The 15,183-nt window shown below is 47.6% G+C and overlaps 1 long non-coding RNA gene across 2 annotated transcripts, besides 1 other annotated feature; it reads right to left on the minus strand.

Annotated features, from left to right (window-relative positions):
- Positions 1-8,452: 8,452 nt before the first annotated feature.
- LOC107984184 (uncharacterized) lies at positions 8,453-11,175 on the minus strand. Of its 2 annotated transcripts, XR_001747310.1 has the most exons (4): positions 11,024-11,175; positions 10,224-10,335; positions 9,412-9,592; positions 8,453-8,725 (listed from the first exon to the last, which is right to left on the minus strand). It is a non-coding gene; the product is annotated as an uncharacterized LOC107984184 (long non-coding RNA). The 2 variants fall into 2 exon arrangements; XR_001747309.2 differs by lacking the exon at positions 11,024-11,175 and having other exon boundaries at positions 10,224-10,456.
- Positions 11,346-12,333: an enhancer, noted in NCBI's record as "H3K4me1 hESC enhancer chr10:125996111-125997098 (GRCh37/hg19 assembly coordinates)". NCBI's record gives its function as "activates a minimal SCP1, AML or CMV promoter by ChIP-STARR-seq in primed H9 embryonic stem cells {active_cell/tissue: H9 hESC(primed)}" and the evidence as "EXISTENCE:reporter gene assay evidence [ECO:0000049][PMID:30033119]".

Raw genomic sequence — 15,183 nt, forward strand, 5'->3', positions numbered from 1 at the left:
GCCCCAACACCTCCCTGTAAGTCAGACACACAGGTTCCAAGGCCTGCCCAGGGCTCAGTCAGTGGGCATGGGGCAAGGCCCTGGCACGTGGAGGTTTAACAAGCTCCCAGGTCGCCCTTGACACCAGGTGGAGCCTGAGGGCTACATTTCTAATGAGGCCCAGGTGATGCTGAGCCGGCTGGGCTGTGGGCCACACTTTAATGGGCAACAGCTGCAAGCTGTAAGGAACATGCATCGCTCTTTGAAGAGGGACCTGGAGTGCATCCATCTGGCTAGATGGTTTGGGGAATGACGTGGACCTTGGTCACCACTGAGCTCCTCTACCCCCTCCCTGGATACCTTTAGCCAGCATCCCATGGGCCTCTCCACTCCAACAGGTACAAAGACAGCTAGAAATATGGGGGCACCCCCCGCCACCTTACCCCTGCATCTAGCCGGCCACCAAGTCCCAGGGCTCATCTGTTTGGGTAACTATTCCTGTATAAAAGATACTCCAAAACTTCACAGCATAAAACAGCTATTTTGTTGTATTCAAAGGTTGGATTCTGTAAGCCAAGAATCCAGGCGGGGCACCACAGAGACAGCCTGTTTCTGCTCCACAGTGTCTAGGCTCTCAGCTGAGAGGACTCAAGGACTGGGGTTTGGAATCATCTGGAGGCATCTTCCCTGACCTGTCTGACAGACGATGCTGTCAGCTGGAATCTCAGTGGGGACTGTCAGAACACAGCACATACACAGGCCTCTTTGTGTGGCCAGGGCTTCCTCCCAGCATGGCAGCCTCAGGGCAGTCAGATTTCTTTAGATGGATGTTCAGGCTCCAAGGGTAAAAGTCCGAAGAGAACCAGGACCTAGCCTCAGAAGTTATGTGCTGTCATTTCCACTGCCTCATGTCACCTAGGAAGTCAGCCCAAATCGAAAAGGAGGAGACATCAACACCACCTCTCCATGGGAAGAGTGTCAAAGAATTTGCAGACGTGTTTGGAAACCACCCACCCTCTCAGCGGTGTCTCCCACGCGCATGCTCTCCCTTTGCCTCCTGACCTCTGGCTTGGTTCAGGGCCTCCCTATCTCCCATCTGGGCCTTTGAACAAGCGCCTTGTTGGTATCCCTACCTCCAGCCCTGCACTGCAGGGCAACTCATCACCAACAGGGATGTCCATGACACAAGCAGGTCCAGTAGCTTCCTACTTGGACGCTTCCAGCCATTCACCGTAGAAGTAGGAAGCAGCCAAGCTGTCTGACTTGCAGCATTCATTTATCCTGACCCCTGCCTCTGCTCCAGCCAAATTGTACTCCAAATCTCCACTCTCCTTGCTCTTCTGCCTTTGCATGTGCTGGTTTCTCTACCTAGAGTGCTCCCTTTACCTCTGACAGGATCCTAGCAAACTCCTATTCATCCTCCAAAACCCAGCTCCAATGTCACATCCTCTGTGATGCCATCTTTAAACCACTCATGATTATAATAGAGGTGCAGACCAGTGGTTCCCATTCTTAGCTACACATTGGAATCACCGAGGGAACTTTAACACATACTGATGACTGGATGCCACCCCCAGACAATTCTGGTTTAGTGGACTGCATACAGCCTAAGCATGAGAAATTAAACTCTAAGAACCGCTGGTATTGGCCGGGTGTGGTGGCTCACGCCTGTAATCTCAGCACTTTGGGAGGCCGAAGCAGGCAGATCACTTGAGGTCGGGAGTTTGAGACCAGCCTGGCCAACATGGTGAAACCCCGTCTCTACTAAAAATACAAAAATTAGCCAGGCGTCATGGCTACGCCTGTAATCCCAGCTACTCGGGAGGCTGAGGCATGAGAATCTGGGAGGCGGAGGTTGCAGTGAGCAGAGATCATGCCACTGCCCTTCACCTGGGTAACAAAGCAAGACTCTGTCTCAAAAACAAAAACGACAATGACAACAACAAAAAAAAAAGAAAACAGCTGGTATAGAGCAATGGTTCACAGAGCCCAGCACAGAAAACCACCTGGGGATGTTTCAAAGCACCCCTTTTCCCCAGAGCCCCACTTCAAACTTATTAAATCAGAGTCTGCAGGCGTGAGGCCAAGACAATGGCATGGCCACTTTATGAAGTCTACCCAGATGATCCTAACATGCACACGGTGGGAGAAACGCAGGGGTAGAGTCAAGCTCTCATATTTTTATATGATATTATGGAGCATGACTCAAAGCCTCCATCTAATTTCTGGTTTAGGAAAGATCATCTTTATCCCAGAAGTGAACAAGGTCACAAATCTGTTGGGTTTTTATAGAATACATATCGCAAGCCACTTTCCAATTCTAAAACTAATAAATGAATGCAAAAGATGAATAATTTAAATATCAATTTCATGCACATCGTAGATGCTCAAAAAATATTCATTGACTCAATTAATCATCCAATCGATCAATATAATCCTAGTTCTACAGCTACCCAAAATACTTCTGCATCTCCCCCAGTAAACTATGAGTTCCTTGAGGGCAGGTATGGGGACCCCAGCCCCCATGCAAAGGACATTTGATGAATAAAAAAATGCCTTGATGTGCAAAGCAAATGACCCTGAAGGCTCATGGCTATCTCTGTATTTTCTAGGTGTGCAGTGGTTTTCTAGTTGAACAGAAAAATGCTAGTACGTAACGAATGAATCCATCCATTGTTGGAAGGATGATGATGTTACGATTATAGAAAAAATCCTTATTAGTCAGCTTGTCCAGGTTATTGTGCTTTTTTTTGGAGGCTTTTCAACTGAACATTAACCCAGAGGCTCATGGCCAGCTCCCAGCCACACATGGACCGGCATGTCACAGCTCCCAGCCACACATGGACTGGCATGTCACAGCTCCCAGCCACACATGGACCGGCATGTCAGGTGCCCAGTGCTGCTCTGTGCACTGCCACCCAAGAGGCATGCCTCAGCCTTGCCTGAGCAGCCCTCACAGGGCACATGGCCTCTGCCCAGTGACCAGTGGAGGGTGGAAGGTGGAACCATGGCCTATGCATCACCCCTGTCTCGTGATCTCAGCTGCTTTGGCCTCTTGGTTGCAAGAGCTACAGCTCAGTGATAAAGAACAAGGGCTCTGGGGTCAGACAGGCTAGGGGTCTAGAGCCTGGTCCACCACTAGCTGTGTGACTAGGGCAAATCACTGCACCTCTCTGAGCCCCAATGAAGATGATGTCAACAACAGTACCTTCCCTGAAAGTCATTATGAGATGAAAATTAAATGATGCCTGTGGAGTCTGAATGCCAGGCCTGGCACAGAAAAAGGGCTCAGGATGTGGCAGGTGATGGCGCAGAGATCGAGCCGCAGGACCCTGGGCTGCGACTTAGTGACTGTGCCACTCAGAGCAAGTCACTTACGTTGTTAAGCCGGGTTTTTGCATCTGTGGAACAGAACCAATAACAGAGCCCATCATAAGATCACTGATGAGCCAGTGCTGAGAAGGACCAATCACGGTGTTCGCCATAGCTGTTATTATCACCTTTGCAGGATCAGGGTTGATAATGGCTGCCATTTATTATTAATATAATCCCCAGAAACTGACTCTTCTCCCAGCAGGGGTGCGGTCATGGTTCATGTGCTGACAACATTCTAGAGACTTGGAAACAGTTTTCTTCCCACCAGCACCAGCCCTGCCAGAACCTGCTGCAACTGTTTTTGTAATCAATGGAAACGTGCACAGTCCAAGGGAGGTGGGGCAGAGAGGAAGCAGGCACATCCCAGGCTTGCATCTGCCCAGGCAGAACCAAGGCACCAGCCTCCTGCCACCCACCAAGGCCAGAGGGAGGAACAAATTCAGGTCCCCTTGCGGGATGACGGCCCCCTCCCCACATAGCCTGAACCAACTCAGCAACTGATTTCTCAGCAATGGATTTCTAGGTGAGCAATGGATTAAGACTTTTCTGGTCTTAAAGCTTGAAATTCACCTCATTTCCCCAATCCCCAAAGGGGAGCAAGTCCGTGTGCAGCCTTCCAAAACCAATGAGTCTGCTTCTAGAACCATCCCAGTCGCCACCTCTGCTGCTTCCTCCTCCTCTTCCCAGGCCCCTGAAGCAATCCGTGGGCCCAGGGTACTTGAGCCAAAGAACAAGGTGCTAGGCCAGGGTGACACAGGCTGGGCCAGCTGTGGAGGACACAAGACTCCTTCCCCAGTGCACACACAAGTCCTGGTCCAGATGAGAGAAAGGAAGACAGAACATTCCTCTGGCAAAAGGTGACATAGTGGCATTCACGACCAACCCCTTGGCACTCAGGTGATGCTGCCCTTGAACAAATGTCTGAGAGCAGCCTTCTCCCAGTACAGACACGATCAGCTCTCATCCCGGGTCAGGACTGTGGATGCGTAGCTCTCCAGCAAATCACAAACTTCCTAACGTAGCCAGCTGGTCAGTCTTGGCCAAGCCCAAATTCCCCCTCCCCCCAGGCAGCCGTGTGGCATTCTGAAAGGAGTGAAACTGACCCAATAGGCCCACAGACAGTTGTTGTTGTTGTTGTTGTTTAATAAACATAGAAATTGAAATTGACTTTTCTGGGCTTAAAGCTTGAAACTCACCAGATCCAGACAATGAAACACCAGGCCCCTCGTTCATCATGATTCCCTACTTAGCCCTCCTGAGTTCCTGTTTTCCCATACGTAGTTACATTTCTTCCCTGCTATATAAACCCCTTATTTTAGTCAGTTAGGGAGATGGATTTGAGACTGATCTCCCAACTCCTCAGCCGCAGCACCCGATTAAAGCCTTCTTCCTTGGCAACAATCATTGTCTCTGTGATTGGCTTTCTGTGTGGTGAGCAGCAGAACCTAGACTGAACCCCTGGTGTTTCAGTAACAGACCTTGTCTGAAGACCTGGGTGCCACCTGGGTGAGCCCTGGCTGGCTGAGTCTTCAGACAGTGTTGAACCTCTCTCTGCCTGAGATGAAGATAAAAGTAACCGATGCTGCTTACTGACCTCACTGGGTACTACAAGGTGCTGTGAGACAAAAATACGGACGTGCTCTGCAAACTCAAGTCCTCGTCAGGATTAGTGACCATTCAGAGCCCTTCCTCTGGTCCTAGGGGAGCCCCTGGCAGAGGACGGTAAACTTGAATCCCCTGGGGCCCTCAGGAGCAGGAACTCAGAGCAGCCCTCTGAAAATCTGAAATTTCTGCAGCATCTCTTGTTTGATCTTCAAAGCTCATACAGACTTTATGTTTCACTCATAATACATCGGTCTGTTTTATTACTAAGAGGACATTGTAAAATTAGCTACCATCACCGATGCACCTGGTCAGTGATGCCCCAGCAAGTTGTGACAGGCACACTCGGTGGCTGTCCCAGACACCAGCTCTCACTGCAGTTTGAGTGGCATAGTGGCTGTGGAGACCCTCACAGTTCTTTCCAGGAAGAGCTCAAATGGCCAACGTGAGCCCCATTATTATAGGTCCTGGCTGGTCTCTGTGTAGCCAAGATCATGCAGTAAACCCTTGCCTAAGTTTGGGCTCCCCCAGAAGCAGAGCCTCAGACAAGGACTTGGTGCAGGTGATTTGGGGTGAGGGGAAAGTGAGCCCAGGAAGCAGGAGGGAGTGAGTGAAAGAGTAAGAAAAGGAAAGAGAAAAAGCCAATAATACCCAAAGGCTTCATTGAAGCTGCCGCTGTGGGTCACTGGGACCTGGTTCCTCTGGAAGGGATGCACAGAACGCCCCGAGATTGCCCCACCCCATCCAATGCGAGTCAGAGCCAGCTCCCGCGGTCAGTGCTGGCAGATTCCAGGGGGTTGGGCTCACCCACGCTCCCAGGCTGGACTGGCACGTGGCTAAGTGGGCTCCCTGGGGCCCTGGAGCACAAAGTGAAAAGATGCCCTGTGCTCGTGGAGTGGGGATATTGTCAGGATGCAAAGGTCTGGGCACAAATGGAACCTTCCAGTCAGAGCTAGCTTCAGTCACATTGGTCCAGGCCTGGCTGCTCCTATAACCATCAACCCTCTGGGAGGCCTAGAGCTCAAGTCCTTCCTCATAGCAGAGTTAACCTTGGGCTGAAACAGAAGCACGCTTTAACTGTGGGAGGGAAGCTTTCTAAGTCATATTACCCACTCAGCCTTGATCCAGCACCTCCATGGATGGTGCTTCCTTGATAACTCAGGCTCATCATGGATAGAGCCACGGCCCAGAGATGAGAGGTGCACCCCGGAACCCACCAAGGCCAGGGCTGTTGGACCCACACTAGGGATCCCCCCAAATGTCCTGTTTCTGCATTTTGTAGCTGTTCTGACACCTGTGGTATCCTGCTGGTGACATATGAGCTTTCTAGAAAATAATCTGAGACCATATCTCAAGAACTTTTAGAATGGGCAGAACATTTTCCACAATAATATATAGATATCCAAAGAGCTGTCATCCCAAGGAAACACCTATAAATGTCAAAGTCACCTCGTTGTTTATGAGAGCAAAGAACAAAGAATTTAAATGTCAAAGAAAGGGGGTTGATAAATAATTCCTGGCTAAGTTACACAGTGGATTGTTATATGTAGAGTGTGGCCTGAAGTTGTACAGTCCTGATTTCATAAATCTATCCAAACATGCACTTTAAAAATCCTAAAATAAAATACACCAAAACTCCAAATGTAGTAACCCCTGAGTGGTGAGATTACAGTCATTTGAATTGTCTTCTTTATACTTGTCTGTATTTTCCAAATTTTATGTAAGCATGTGTGTCTTTTATCATGAGAGCCAAAGTTTTTTGCAATGACACAAAGGCCACTATCTCAGACACTGGGCCCACCAGGACCGGAGCCCCCTCTGCACTCGCAGTGAAGGCTGTTCCTGGACATGAGAAATCGTGATCCTGGGACTTGCCCACCTCCCAGGGTTCACTGGGCTCCCCTCCCACACAACCCAGTCTCTTGAGGAGTCAGGGGCTGTCTCTGGCAAGTGATCCCCATTGCCCCGTCCTGAACAGAGCCGGCTGGCATTTTGGCAAAATGTTCTGAACAGTTTCTGACCCAGAGGAACCTGGAAACTTCAGCCTCTTGGCCCAGCCTTGAAAACAGCTTTGCCAGGCTCATCCTGGTACAGGTCCCGGGAGATGATCAAGCCCATTGTCCAGGACAGAAAACTGAGGCCACCCAGAACTGTGCCACATCTGGCCACCCCCTGGTGATCCCAATAAGCCTAAGTCCCAGCCTGACTGAGAGCCCCACGTGGGCTGATCTATGAGGTTACTGGAAAGAGGAGGCTGGCCTCAGGTTCAGGAGGGCTCCCCAGTCCTAACATCCCACTCTCCATGCCCAAGACTAAGATGTGTCCCGGGAAGTGCAGGGCTGGTCTACCACAATACGGCCAAGGCACCCTTCGGGGCGGCCAGGAAAATTCCAAGAGGGCAAGAATGCCCTCCCTGCCTCTACAGTGCCTCCTCCTTCAAGAGCTTAGGTTTCAGAGGTAGATAGTGCTGGTTCACATTCCAGCTTGTGGCCTTGACTTGGCCATTCATGTCTCTGTCTGGGAGGAGCTTCCAGGAAATTATCAGCTCCCTGGTTTGAACCCCAGTAGCCACCATGTGAGCACCCCAGGGAGCTGTGGGCAGCCTACCTGCAAAAGGCAGTCTCTACCAGAGCAGGGGGAGCATCACGGCCCTCCTCTATAGGCTGCAGCCTGGTCTCTGCCTCCCCTTATGGAATCCCACCTCCCACTGGGGTAGGGCCTTCAGCAGGGAGCCCAGGCCACAAATATGGGGCCCTGAGAAGAAGGCACCTTTGCCGCCCCACCCCCACACCACCCCAGAAAGCAGGAGCTGATTCCAGATGTGGCCTGCCAAGGGGGCCATAGCTGGCAGGGACCGCAAGTCATCCAGTCCAGTGGTATTATGTTACTTAGGTGTTAAGATATCACATTTCTTAGCTTGCCCTAAATCAACACAAACCTGTCTAGGAGCCCCCATTCAACAAGATGATTAATACAATGCCTTTGTGTTGAGTGGTCCCTCCAGGGTCAAAGACCTCCAGGAAATTCAGGGAAGGGGTCTTGCATCGTCAGGCCCCAGCAGTCCTCTCTAAGGGCTTGCCAACAGCTCTGGGGGTTCCGCACTTGTATCCAACCCAGATGATCCTACCCAGTTGATCCAACCCAGGTGATCCTATGAAGGTGGATGGCTCTGCTGTCTTTGTGCCAAGCTTGGGAACAGATATCCTAGTGAACCAGGAGCCTGGGCACCTGCAGTCCCTCTCTCTGGGTGTCCCCGACATCCATGTCCTTCCAAAAGCCTTCCCTCACCACAGCCCCTCCAGGGGATGTGTGTGAGTAGGGCCCAGGTTCCTGCCCCTTCTAGAACCACAAAACCCTGAGCCTTGCCAGCCCAACCCACACACCTCCTTCACGTTGGTTCACATCCCCCCTTAGAGGCCTGCCACCATGAGATAACCAAGCCCAACAGCTCCTGGCTACCTGGCTTTTGAAGCAAATGCCTGGGTGACGTCTGTGTTCTCTGTGTCCCCCATCCTCTTCAAAGAAGGGGGGTTGATAAATAATTCCTGGCTAAGTTACATGGTGGATTGTTATATGTAGAGTGTGGCCTGATCTCCAAAAGCTGTTAGCAAACCCCTGCTGCATTCATAAAGGTTTGGCTACCTTGTATATCTGGAGGAAGGATACAAGGATGGCAAAGAAAGTGGCATCTTGATAATCATCCTGGCACCGAAGTGCATGGAAAACAGTCTGGAAGGATGTACACCCAACAGGGAGGGGCCAAGGAGGGCTGCAGGGAAGCAAAGGAGACTTTATCACCACTTTGAAAAACTTCTGTACAGTTGGGACATTTCATTACCCATCATATATTATCCTCATTATTTTTTTTTTTTCCTTTTTTTGGCTAGTGCTGGCTAAATAACAGAAAATGAAGTAATTTGTTATTTACCAAGCATCATTTATGTGCCAGGTGATCAAAACAAATGTGGAATCTTGTATTTACAGTTATGATGTAAAGTAAACAATGAGCCGCAGTTGGCCAAGCAAAGAGCGATGGAAGTGAACAGTATCCCAGGCAGAAGGAGGAATATCAGCTGGTCCTGGGTGGGAAAGAGCTTAGCAGATTGGAGGAACAAAAATAGGCCAGTGCAGCTAGAGCACAGTGACTCAAGGAGCAGGGACAGAGATGAGGGTGGAGAGAAGCCTTGAGGCAGATCACATGGGTAGTTAAGGAAGGTTGTGTTCAGGGAGTTTGCGTTTCATTTTGAGTGTGCTGGGAACCATCAAAGGCTTTTAAGCAGGGAGCAACATGATCAGATTTACATTTTTTAGTAGATAACTCTGTCTTCTTGCTGTGTGGAGAATGTTGGAGGGCAAGACAGGAAGTGTTATCAGTTAAAGGATGCCCAGAAGAGGAATCTCATGATCCATGATTTTAAAAGAAAAATAAATAAAACAAAGGGCCCTGTTTCTTACCAGGAGGAGCCTGACATCCAAGGAGACAGGGGCAAAAGAATTAGGTATGTTACACCTAGCAGGCAGGACAGCACAGAAGTTGGTGGCTGAGGTCTATGGGTCCACGGTCATTGGCTGTGCTGCTTGCCGGTCAAGTGATGTGGACAGGTTGCTCAACCTTTCAAAGCATTGGTTTCTTCCTCTGAAAAGTAGAAGGTAATTATATCTACCTCTCAAGATTGCCAAGAATATGAATGAGCTACTGCATGTGTCATATATCATGCTTAGCTCTGTAATGTTACTTTATAACCATCACCGTCATCACCATCATCATCACCACCATCTTCATTATCATCACCATTATCACCACCACCATTATCATTATCACTATCATCATCATCTTCAACACCATCATTCATCATCGTTGCCACCACCATCATCACCACCACCATCTTCATTATCATCACCATTATCACCACCACTACAATCAACATCATAATCATCACCACCACCACCATTACCACTACCATCATCATCTTCTTCAACACCATCATCATCATCATCATTGCCACCACCATCATCACTACCACCATCTTCATTATCATCATGATTATCACCACCACCACCATCATCACCATCATAATCATCATCACCATCATCACCAGCACCATTATCATCACCACCACCACCACCACCATTACCACTACCATCATCATCATCTTCAACACCATCATCATCATCATCATCATTGCCACCACCATCATCACCACCATCATTGATCCTGCTCCTAGACTCCATCAAAGTCCAGAGTCCAGCATTCTACCCCAACTCACCTCTGAATAACTCTGGGATCTGAGTGGGCCTCCTATCCTCAGTCTCCATGCCCTCTGTCAGGCTGTTCTCACAACTGTGGGGCTCCTTGTTCAAAATGAAAATGTGGGACCTCTTTTTCAAAAAGCAGGAAAAAGGTATCATTGAAGTTACTAAAATACAGAGCTTTCTTCTTTCTTCCAGTCTCTCTCTCTCATCTTATCATGATATTTTTTATTTGCTATTTGATGCCATTCTAAGTACAGAAAAATTAAAATTTTTAATTACTAACACGAATTTTACCATTCATCATTATATTGCACAATACCAGTTTTAGATACAAATATAAGAACAATTTAACTCATATGTGAAATCAACAAAATTATAATTTGTATTTGATATTTTGTACACACAAGTATATTTTTGTCCTTGCTAGAACAGTAGAAATGCTGCACACACAAAAACTCAACTGTTTTCTGTTTTTATTTCACTCCTGGATAGAATCACATTCTACCAACACTCTCTGCCTTTGCCTTACTGATGGGTAAGGAAGAAGTGAAGCAAAAAGGAACTATGGCTGCCCAGTCTTCCCCTTTCCTTCTGTGTCATCACTTTCAGTGTAAGTGCTTGACTAACACAGGGAAGTGACATGAGTAAGAAAAGGCATGACAGGTTTCCTTGGTCGTTTGTGTTTCTTCCAACATCACTGCCTTTTTTCCGCATTCTAAGCAAGTTCTGGTTTGAATGGAAAGCGTGGCCTGTCAATGCTGTCTATGCCCTTGCTCACTCAGCTGTGCATGCAACACGTATCCCTTGTACTCACTTTGAGTCACACTTCCATGCATCATGGTTTCCCTGGAATGCTATGCTCATGGGGCATCAAGAACACCACATGCTGACAAGGCAGCAAGGAACAGCAGGCATGTCTATTGCATGAATCTCCAGCTCATGTGCCCACTCCATGGTCCCATTAGACTTCACCTGCAAAACACCAGTTCAAAGATAAAATTATTAAAATTTCAAGATGATGGCAGAAGAGCATTAACCCAAGAAGCTCAGGGCCTGATCACAGGGCCCTTTGCAACTGCACAGGCCTCAGGCCCATGAGGCTGGCCCTGGCTCTCCTGGAAAATGGGCACAGTTTCCAGTTTGTCCATCTCACAGGGTTGTGGGAGGCCTATACACAAGCCAGCAAGTGGAAACCCTTTGCAAACAGTAACTGTGACCGTAACCATAACCGTAACTGGACCAACATGCAGCTGCCACACTCCCCCGAGTGTGGCATGGTATGCAGAGCAAGCATACCACACCAGGCATAGCGAGCGCCAGCCGCAGCCAGCACCAGCAGGGAGCTGGGCAGCGGTGAGCTGATTCGAATTCCAGATGAGCGTGAATGACACAAAATCCGTTTTACTTGCAAATTCTGAACCGTGCGCAGGAACCCAGCAAGCTCTGCATCACAACATGTTTCTCCAAGCAGCCGTTGGGCTGTAAAACGGACGATCGCTGTTTGCAGTCAAGCTCTGTTATGCTGGGCAAGTCAAAGCCAGTTCCCTTCTGCCAGGGCTCAGCAGAGGTGTGACCCCCTCGTAAAGCCTTGCCTGTGTCTGGGGAAGGTGTCAGGAATCACCACACATTCCCCGTTTGGAAAGCGATTCTGCAACATGGAAGTCTGGGCTGTTCTGAGGCTCTGTCCAGCTCAACAGGCAAAACAGAAGGGGAAGCTCCCAAGATCCAGAGACCTCGCTCTCCACCCACAGTCATGGAACCCGGGTCCATCGGTGATGCTGAGGGAGCCCCAAGCCCTGGGTGAGCTTCCTCAACTCTAGAGTTGAAGCAAGAACACCACAAGGGCACCACAAACGCTTCCCGTCCATGACTGTTCTCATGCTCACATCCACCGTGACACGCGGGCATCACAGCCCCACTTAACATCGCTGCACCTGAGGCTTAGCAAAGTTAAGTGACAAAAACTGTGATTGTCCCAGTGGCACATGACAAAATGGAGGCTTTGAGAGGTTAAGCAGTTTGCCCGAGGTCACCAGCAGGGCCAAGGGCCACACCGAAGTCTGGGTAATGCCTAGGTCCACGCTCCGACTCAGGGCACAAGAGCTAAGAAGAAACGAGCTCACACATGTGACAGGGCATCACGACCTTCACTGGAGCACAGTGTGGGTGGCACCAGTTGCCCTAAACACAGAGGGCGTCTCCTGGGCCATTGTCAGGGGAGAAAGAGGGTGGCACTTGGGTGAGGAATTCCAGCCTATCTGCCTCCAGGGCTCCTTGGAGCCTGGCCCAGAGTTGAAGAGGCATTTTTCCCTCCACCCTGCCCAGCTCTCCCCTACCCCCTCCATATACACACATGCACACACACACAAACACAAACACACATGCACATGCACACACACATGCACACGCGTGCTCTATATGTGTGATGGCCCTTCACCAACCTCCCCCCTTCCTCTCCCTTCAGCCCGCAAGTCTTCTCCATTCTCCCACCCAGGCTTCCGTAAGCCTCCCTGCCCTTTTCCTCACAATGCCACGGTCTGGCTGCAGAATCACCAGGGTCCTAATTCCAGCACGGGCTTTATGCCCCCAGCTCTGAGCCCCAGACCCCCATCTGATGATGATGGGCCTCCCTGCAGCAGAGGGTGGTGTGTGGGGTGTGTGTGTGTGTGTGTGTGTGTGTGCATGCGTGCATGCATTTGTGTGTGTGTGTGAGAGTGCCTGGCAGGTGGGGCCTCACTGGCCTGCCTTTTCCTTGCCTGTTCACACCAGTGTAAAACCAACCAGGCAACAGGCACTGCCCACATCAGAGAGCTCTCAGGACTCCCACTCTGAGCAGAAGGCTCTGGGGGAAACACTAGAATTTAGTAGGAATTCTAGGGGGAAAGTGGAGAAAATGTGTAAGTACATAAACGATAGAATAGCATTCCCGGGTGCTGAAGGAATCAACAAATGTTCAGGTTGTTAAGGCCCCCCCGGTACCAAACTGCATCTGCCCTAAAGGCGACGAAACTCCCACCAACTCCAAATGTTCATCACCCACCGCTTCTCTCTTCATAAATATGGCAACCAAACCAGGTAATGAAGGACACCAACCATGTGGAAGGTAAGAACAAACAAACAGAATGCAAAGAACAGAAAGGAACTTTTAAAAGGTTAGTGCCTTTGGAGAAAGTCAAGAAGGTATTGTGTCCCTAAAAAGAAAACAGGCTCTGCTTAAAATGGAGCAATGAGAAAGCCAGAAAGAATTCTCAGAAATAAAACTGCTAAAAGAAAAAGTTCATGAAAAAAGACATACAGTTGAAGAAATCTCTCAGAATATATATCAATAAAACAAAGAGAAAAATACAAGAGAAATCACCTGAGATATATAAGCTCAATCTATGAAGTTCTATATTAATTTACTAGGAATTATAAAAAAAAATTAAATGGAGAAAATGTAGAAATTATACAAATGAGAGTATAGCATCTCTCAAGTGCTGCAGGAATCTACAAATCTTCTGGTTGACAGGACCTTCTAGATACCAAGCAGAATAGATGAAGAAAGACCCGCCTCCAGATAAACTGTCATGAAAACTGGAACTCCAAGGACAAGGAGAATATTTTAAAGGCTTCCAGATGGGAAAAACAGATTATTAGCAAAGGAATGACAATCATGTTGGTGTGTGACTTCTCATCAGCAACGTTGAAAACCAGAAGACTAGAGCAATGATCCCAAGTTCTCATTAAAGAAATTAAACTTACAATTGTATGTTTGAATAGAAACTATTAAATAAGTGCAAGGGCAAAATAACATTTTCAGGCACAAAAATACTTAAAAATCTACATCCTGAATATTCTTTTTGAAAAATGCTCTCTCGGGATATTCTCCAGCAAAATGAAGAAGGTATCTAAGCAAGAAAAAAGATATGGGAATTCTAAAAACAAAGTAGACTTATCCCAGGCATCCAAAGAAAAACTTCTAGATAACAGAACTAGAAAAAAAAATCCATCCAGATCCTAACAAGGGGTAAGAGAACCCTGGGGGTGGGGGGTAGGGGCAGCGGTGGGGTGGGGAATCTTCAAGAAGAGAACATTTTCTTATTTTCTTTAACAAAAAGTAGGGTTGGAGACTAGATAGTTTAAAGATATAATAGAGGTATATACTGTTGCTCTCTTGTCAAAAAGAAAAAAACGTAGCAAGATCCCATCTCTAAAAAAAGGTTTTAAATTAGCCAGGCATGGTGATAAGCACCTGTAGTCCAAGCTAATGGGGAGGCTGAGTCAGGAGGATCACTTGAAACCAGGAGACAGAGGCTGCAGTGAGCTATAATAGTGCCATTGCATTCCAGCCTGAGCAACAGAGTGAGACCCCATCTCTTAAAAAGAAAGAAAAGAAAAACAATTAAAAATTTCAGGAAGAAAAATAAAGTTCTATGCTATACTATTGTAAATTGCATTTAAAGGTTGACATTGAGGTTAAATAGTACTTGTTTTGCAATGATAATAAAAATACAGCTTTTGGTAAAGTACAATGTCATGGTAAAAACAGTATTCTTACTAAATTTAAAAACCTATGAAGTGGAAATTTACTTGGAATTGGTAATGGTGCACATATAATTTATAATTTGTTCCAAATAGGCTGTGATAGTCTAACAATTTAAGTAAAAGCTGTAGTTGCCAACATTTAGAAATTATATATATGCTGTATAACAAAAATTTTGTGACAAAGCTGATTAAAGATGAAAAAAAACCATGCTACAGCATGGCTTGTGTACTTTCTCTCTTTGCTGCCTGCCACATATCAGATTTTAGAAAAGTTTGAGCTTTTGAAGTCAATCTGAGTATCCTGTGACAATATTAAACTTTTTTGTAGATGAGTCCTCTAAATTTTGGATACATGGTTTTCAAAAAATTGGAGACGTTTGATCAGATTATTCAACACACGGACTTTCCATCTTTGAAGTTTTGAAAGAATTGCATTAATTGAAAACAAAG

This window comes from Homo sapiens, chromosome 10, assembly GCF_000001405.40.
Source record: "Homo sapiens chromosome 10, GRCh38.p14 Primary Assembly".
Lineage (NCBI taxonomy): Eukaryota > Metazoa > Chordata > Mammalia > Primates > Hominidae > Homo > Homo sapiens.